The sequence below is a fragment of the Homo sapiens genome, chromosome 10 (assembly GCF_000001405.40).
Source record: "Homo sapiens chromosome 10, GRCh38.p14 Primary Assembly".
Lineage (NCBI taxonomy): Eukaryota > Metazoa > Chordata > Mammalia > Primates > Hominidae > Homo > Homo sapiens.
Window position 1 is genome coordinate 108061649 of NC_000010.11, and position 7930 is coordinate 108069578.

Below are 7930 nucleotides of genomic sequence, written 5' to 3' on the forward strand. Positions count from 1 at the left end.
TACTCCATCTTAATAATCTCCTTATTGATCCTCCTCCCTTAGTTCTTCTTTTTCTCATAAAGATTCTATTTTTGGTCAGTATTCTAAGCTATTATCTCTAGAGAGTCTATATATAATTTATAACATAAAGAAGATACCAACATAGGCCAAGACCATGGTAAAGAAAGAAGTTACACACACTATCTTGATATCATCTGATTCACTTTGTTTTTAAAATTCCTGTAGTTGATTGACTCAAAATATCTAAGTAAGCAGAATTGTGTAACATAATTGTTCAAATCTTCTTTCCAGAAGTATTTTCCCTCTGGAGGTAATGGTTTGATACTTCATATCTATCTTAATGAAATGTATCTACTATGCCATCATATCATATATGATGTTATATAATTTTTCTCTTCAGTCTATATAATGCTGTAATGTAATAAATGCATCACTGACCCTGTCTGATGGCATTGCCAAGCTCCTCTGTTTGGTAAAAGAGCCTGAAACAATAGTAGTTATATGTTGACTTATTGATAATGAAGAAAAATTCCCAAGGCCAGGCTGATATTTACATATCAAGAGCTTTGCATTGAGAAAAATGTTGTGTTCTTGACATGAAAATAAAAGGTTCTCACATTTGTTTTCCTGTCCTGGAAAAATTATTAAACAGAATAAGTGAGCAGAGTTGAGCTGCTTGATACCTCAACCTCTATGAAATTGAAATGTATAATACCACAGGCCTTATTTCATTTCAGAGACTTACTGGTTTCAGATGTTTAAGGAAATCCTCCTCAGGTGATTAGCTGACAACTAAGGTAACTTAACAGAGACTTCAGTAGCCATACCCAACAAAGAATACAGATTTTTCATATTTGGATTACAAAAGTAATTAAATGAACAACTATAACAAAAAAAAATAACAACAACAACAAATCCTGCGAGGGGAAATCTGATTTCCAGAATTGTCATATTGCATTATGTATTAATATAGTGTCCTGTTTTCCACAGAAGATTATGAGACATGTAGAAAGTAGAAAGTATGGCTCACATACAGAAAACCAAAAGCAGTCAATAGACTTTGTTTCTGAAGAGGCATAGACATTGGACTTACTAGACAAATCAGTTATTTTAAATAAGTTCAAAGAACTAAAGGATACCACATCTAAGGAACTACAGGAAAGTATGAGAATGATGTCTTGCCAAATAGAGACCATCATTACATAGATAGAAGTTTTAAAAATGTACCAAAGAGCAATACTGAAGTTGAAATTCAGCAATGAGGCAGGGCGTGTGGCTCACGCCTGTAATCCCAGCACTTTGGAAGGCCAAGGCGGGTGGATCACCCGAGGTCAGGAATTTCAGACCAGCCTGGCTAACATGGTGAAACCCTGTCTCTAATAAAAATACAAAAATTAGCTGGGTGTGGTGGTGGGCGCCTGTAATCCCAGCTACTTTGGGAGGCTGAGGCAGGAGAATCGCTTGAACCCAGGAGGCAGAAGTTATTGCAGTGAGCAGAGGCCGCACCATTGCAGGGGCAAGAAGAGCCAAGAAGAGTGAAACTCCAATTCAAAAAAAAAAAAAAAAATTCAGCAAGGAAATAAAAACGTCAGTAGAGGGGACTAAAGCAGATTTGAGCAGGTAGGAAATTAATACTCAGGGAACTAAAATATAACTCAGTTAAGACTATCCAGTCCCAGGGACAAAAAGAAAAATATAATGAAGCCAAATTTAAAGAGTCTCAGCATCCTGCAGGGAATCAGCCAGCATCCCAATCTGTACCAGGAAATCCCAGGAGGAGAGGAGAGACACAAATGGAGGCAATTGGATGACACATTTGTAGTGATAAAAGAAAAATAGTCTCAGTGAAGAACTCTTATCTCCCGTGAAACTCCATCAAAAATGAAAGTGAATTTAAGATACTCCCACATAAAGAAAAACTGACACGCCATAACTAGTAGACTTGTCTTACAATAATTACTAAAAGGAATCTTTAAAGGCCAAAATTAAGGCAAACTAGACAATAACCAATTCTGTACAAAGAAATAAAAGAGCAGAGATAGAGATAACCACTTCCGTAGTCTGAATGACTCCATCATGGTAAACTCCTTCCCTCTTAGAGCCACCCCCCTGACATAACAATCTCTTGTTTACCTAGTGCTTGTCAAATGTACTTCCACTGCTAAAATACCCATGATTCATGGAAAAAATGATGGCGAAAAGTCATTCCTTTTCTTTTTGTATGGCCCACTTTTGAATTTTTGCATTGCTTTTTCTAATTACTCTTTCTCTTGATCACAGGGGACAAAGATATTCTTGTCTAGACACTGCCATAAATCTAAAATTTTGGCTTTGGGGAACAGGTAAAAACATTAGAGCAACCTGCTGTCAGACCCACTTCATGCATAAGGCAACTAAGATCCTGCAAAGGTGATGTGATGTTTTGGAAGTTTATATAAATAATGCTATTCCCTGCCTTCTAGTGCAAGTAACAATAACACTGCGTTTTTGTAATGCAGCTATATCAAGCCAGCAGCTTATAGACTTTCTGGTGATGAGCATATTCTTTTTGAGACAATATTTTAAAATCAGAAGGCTTCACATAGAACTATGTAGAAACAATTGAGAGATACTGTGGATCTTAGCCCTGTGTTCCATGTAACACTTAAAATGCTATTGCTTTGGGTTCCTGTCAATAGCTCGGTGGTACCTATTGTTTTGATGTCAGATAACTCTGCCCATACACCCTGTCTGACTCCCATACACCTGTCTGACATTTATCTTTGCAAGCCAACCTTGGCATCATACACTTACAAAAAATTCAATATCTACTATAATACAAGTAAGGCAATACAGAACTGGAATATATATACACAAAAACATTTAGATAGACATATACATGATTGCACACCCACATATTAAGTTACCTACGTTTATCATATGGTTCAAGTGATGTCAGACAAGCATGAGGATTCAGAGGAGGCTTTGGAGTTAAACAGCCTGGCTTCAACTTTCACTTTATCACTGAGTAACTATGTAGCACTGGGAAAGTCTCCTGAACTTACTGAGACATGGTTTCTTAATTTGCAAGATGAATATGATGGCATTTTTGGGGAAAAAAATAAAGAAACTGAGTGAAACTTTTAGCAAAGTGCCCAGTGTTCATAGATTGAGATTTCTTGCAGGCTGGGAACTGGCACCAAGGTCTCCTGACTTCCAGGCAGAGATTTTTCCCATCATGTCACTTTTTTACACTCACTATCTCTTATGTGTCACCCTAGTCCCTAGTCTCTGCTGCTGTGTAATGTAAAAGATTCATGAGGTGGGAAGAGTCTGAAAGGTCTCATAACCAAGCACTTTATGAGTGACTGAACATTTTTGACATTCTGTGCTAACAAAAGCCACCCTCAAAGATTTTTATATGGGGAAACTGAAGATTGCTCTGTGTGGGCAGTGGCTCACTGAGTCATATATTCAGTTTGATCCTGAGTAGGACTACTGTAGATGGTTTTATGTCTAATTAGCCATGACTGTTAAAGACTTAAAAAAATGAGAATAATCAAATTTTATGCTTCACTAGGTCAATCAATGGCTATGGAAGTGCAGCTGCTCTCCTTTACAAATGCTTCCAAGAGTTTTTCACAATTCATTGGACACCTAAGTGGGTGATTTTACCTCTGTTGAACTAATGACTTGTAAAATTTATCTGAACCCCAAGTCCAGACCACTCAATTCAATGTCTAGATGCAACCAGGCTTCAAATTCTCAATTTTCTTCCTTCTTTCTCCACTTTCAGGCATTTGCTGTGAATCTTACAATACCTTTGCTGATTGTATGAGCAAATAGCACATAAGAAAACTCAGACTGAGGGAGCAGACATGCTTTTTGAGACAGTATTCCCTAAGCCTCTGGAACCTCATAAATGAAAGTATCTGAAGCTTGCATGACAACATTCCTCAAAGTTTGGTGCTTGGCTTACCTGCCCCAGAATTACTTGTTGTCAATTATAAAAACCACAAAAATAACACGCAAAAAAGTAAAATAAACAAGAAAATGAAATAGAGAAAGAGAGAGAATAAAAGAAACCTTTCAAGCTCATACTGTAACAAACTTTGCAATCTCTGGAGGGAAGACGCAGGAATCTGCCTTTGTAACACATGCATTTCTAATGTCACTGATGCACAGACAACTATGAGATTTCCTGAGCAATTTGCTCAATCAATGAATATTTAGAGTAGTATGACAGTTTGAGAATTGTTTGAAATGTATGGAAACTATTGGAATTACTTCAGCAACACATCTTACAATGTAGGAGGAATCATAGAACCTTTGAAGTTATAGGACCAACCCTCTAGGAGTATACAGTGCTCTTCAATTCCTTGCATACAATAAAACCAGAAAAGGGGTAAAGGAGGTGACATGATTTAAGATAGGCCATTAAGTATAGTCAGGATTTTATTTTATTTATTTATTCATTTTTTTTTATTATACTTTAAGTTTTAGGGTACATGTGCACATTGTGCAGGTTAGTTACATATGGATACATATGCCATGCTGGTGCGCTGCACCCACTAACTCCTCGTCTAGCATTAGGTATATCTCCCAATGCTATCCCTCCCCCCTCCCCCCACCCCACAACAGTCCCCAGAGTGTGATATTCCCCTTCCTGTGTCCATGTGATCTCATTGTTCAATTCCCACCCATGAGTGAGAATATGCGGTGTTTGGTTTTTGGTTCTTGCGATAGTTCACTGAGAATGATGATTTCCAATTTCATCCATGTCCCTGCAAAGGACATGAACTCATCATTTTTTATGGCTGCATAGTATTCCATGGTGTATATGTGCCACATTTTCTTAATCCAGTCTATCATTGTTGGACATTTGGGTTGGTTCCAAGTCTTTGCTATTGTGAATAATGCCACAATAAACATACATGTGCATGTGTTTTTATAGCAGCATGATTTATAGTCATTTGGGTATATACCCAGTAATGGGATGGCTGGGTCAAATGGTATTTCTAGTTCTAGATCCCTGAGGAATCCCCACACTGACTTCCACAATGGTTGAACTAGTTTACAGTCCCCCCAACAGTGTAAAAGTGTTCCTATTTCTCCACATCCTCTCCAGCACCTGTTGTTTCCTGACTTTTTAATGATTGCCATTCTAACTGGTGTAAGATGGTATCTCATTGTGGTTTTGATTTGCATTTCTCTGATGGCCAGTGATGATGAGCATTTTTTCATGTGTTTTTTGGCTGCATAAATGTCTTCTTTTGAGAAGTGTCTGTTCATGTCCTTCGCCCACTTTTTGATGGGGTTGTTTGTTTTTTTCTTGTAAATTTGTTTGAGTTCATTGTAGATTCTAGATACCAGCCCTTTGTCAGATGAGTAGGTTGCGAAAATTTTCTCCCATTCTGTAGGTTGCCTGTTCACTCTGATGGTAGTTTCTTTTGCTGTGCAGAAGCTCTTGAGTTTAATTAGATCCCATTTGTCAATTTTGGCTTTTGTTGCCATTGCTTTTGGTGTTTTAGACATGAAGTCCTTGCCCATGCCTATGTCCTGAATGGTAATGCCTAGGTTTTCTTCTAGGGATTTTATGGTCTTAGGTCTAACGTTTGAGTCTTTAATCCATCTTGAATTGATTTTTGTATAAGGTGTAAGGAAGGGATCCAGTTTCAGCTTTCTACATATGGCTAGCCAGTTTTCCCAGCACCATTTATTAAATAGGGAATACTTTCCCCATTGCTTGTTTTTCTCAGGTTTGTCAAAGATCAGATAGTCGTAGATATGCGGCGTTATTTCTGAGGGCTCTGTTCTGTTTTATTGATCTATATCTCTGTTTTGGTACCAGTACCATGCTGTTTTGGTTAGTGTAGCCTAGAAGACATGATTGTATATCTAGAAAACCCCATTGTCTCAGCCCAAAATCTCCTTAAGCTGATAAGCAACTTCAGCAAAGTCTCAGGATACAAAATCAATGTACAAAAATCACAAGCATTCTTATATACCAACAACAGACAAACAGAGAGCCAAATCATGAGTGAAATCCCATTCACAATTGCTTCAAAGAGAATAAAATACCTAGGAATCCAACTTACAAGGGATGTGAAGGACCTCTTCAAGGAGAACTACAAACCACTGCTCAAGGAAATAAAAGAGGATACAAACAAATGGAAGAACATTCCATGCTCATGGGTAGGAAGAATCAATATCGTGAAAATGACCATACTGCTCAAGGTAATTTACAGATTCAATGCCATCCCCATCAAGCTACCAATGACTTTCTTCACAGAATTGGAAGAAACTACTTTAAAGTTCATATGGAACCAAAAAAGAGCTCGCATTGCCAAGTCAATCCTAAGCCAAAAGAACAAAGCTGGAGGCATCACACTACCTGACTTCAAACTATACTATAGTCAGGATTTTAAAGAAAGGACAGAAAAAGACAGAATTTTCCATATAGGGAGGGACAATATGGATAAATGGGAGGAGATGCTAATAGTATGTTGTTTAGGGATGATGGAAAAAGATAAGAATGAACAAAGATAAAGAAACTGCAAATGTGTACACTGTTTCCAAAAGTAGTAATGGCAGGAATACTTTTTGTGTTGCATTGTAGTATCTTGTATTGATGGAAATCTCTAGATCTAGTTTATGGTGTACCCAGTGTGAACCTGGCTGAGATATTTGACTCTCAAAGTCTCCTCCTCCAAAGTAGACCAGTTCCACTTTGGGCTTAAAGTGATGGGAAGCTGAGGCAAGACAGAATGAAGGCCCTGAGATGGCAACCAAAACCTCCACAAACAGCAGGAAAAAATGGAAAATGGGGAACAGAATAAAGGCAGAGACACACCCGTCTCTGCTTGTCCTTCTACCTGGATCCCAAGGGGCTACCTCTCCACTCTGAAAACCAAAGAATCACCTCTAAAGAAATTTGTATGTGTATGAGGATCAACCTACAGAACTTAGCACTGTAAAATATTGTTGAAGTGGAAACTGGAAACCACATTCATTTTATTTAAATCTAAAATAGAGAATTATATTTTTCTCAGGATTTTGTATTGGATTTAATGGGTTTTGTTTTTTGTTTGTTTGTTTGATTTTTTGGTAAATCCTGGATAGCTTGGAAGATCTACATATGATGAACATGTGCTTTTTTTTCTGGTTTGTAAAATCGAAGAAATAACATTTTTATTCTTTCTCTTTCCATCCCCTGACTAGATTAGTATTGCTCATTAACACTGTTCTGGAGCTGTAGTTAGTTCTGAGGTGGTATTTGAGTATGGTGTGTGGGCACTCATGCAGGTTTATCTGCTGAAGTTGCTTGCATTCCTAGTGGCAAGTGGAAGCAAAGCTTACATGGGAGAGTCTTCTGGTTGCTGTGCTCTGCCTACTTCTTATAGTAAGGCCTCATTGCTATTGGCAGTGAAAGGTACTGCCAGACTTTATCCAAAATATTAGTCTAAGCATCACAACTACACAGGATATTCATGTACACAATTAGTACACTGGAAATATAGTTTTCTTAAATCACCCTATATAGATTTCTCCTACCTTTCATGAAAAGTACTTTAACTTCTCTCTGGGGCTCAATAGCTTCCCTGCCCTCAGGCTGTGTTCTTTCAATGTGGCCGATCCCACTCCAGTTCCAGACATGGGCATAAGACTTAAGCCCAAGCCAAGAAACACATTTCATTCCCTTGACTATAAACATTGTGGTGAGGGTAGTTATGAAATCACAGTGGGGCCAGTTTGAACCAATCAGAGGAGAGATTGATCAGAAAAGAGAAAGATTTTTTTTAATTGCTATTTCTCTTCTTTTTTCCTGGATTTAATCCTGCATAGAGTAGGAGAACCTATCTGAGAATGAGGCCAGCACACATAATGGGAGAAGATGACTGGAGATAAATTTCATGGATGATATCATTTGACTACTAAGTCAAGCTATGCA

General features: G+C 37.9%; 1 long non-coding RNA gene across 1 annotated transcript in view; it reads right to left on the reverse strand.

The window, feature by feature from the left end:
• LINC01435 (long intergenic non-protein coding RNA 1435) overlaps positions 1-7645 on the reverse strand; it is a 197718-nt gene extending 190073 nt beyond the window's left edge. Inside the window, exon 1 of the long non-coding RNA NR_125760.1 lies at positions 7534-7645. This is a non-coding gene — a long non-coding RNA (long intergenic non-protein coding RNA 1435). The remainder of the gene's footprint in view (positions 1-7533) is intronic.
• Positions 7646-7930: the final 285 nt, after the last annotated feature.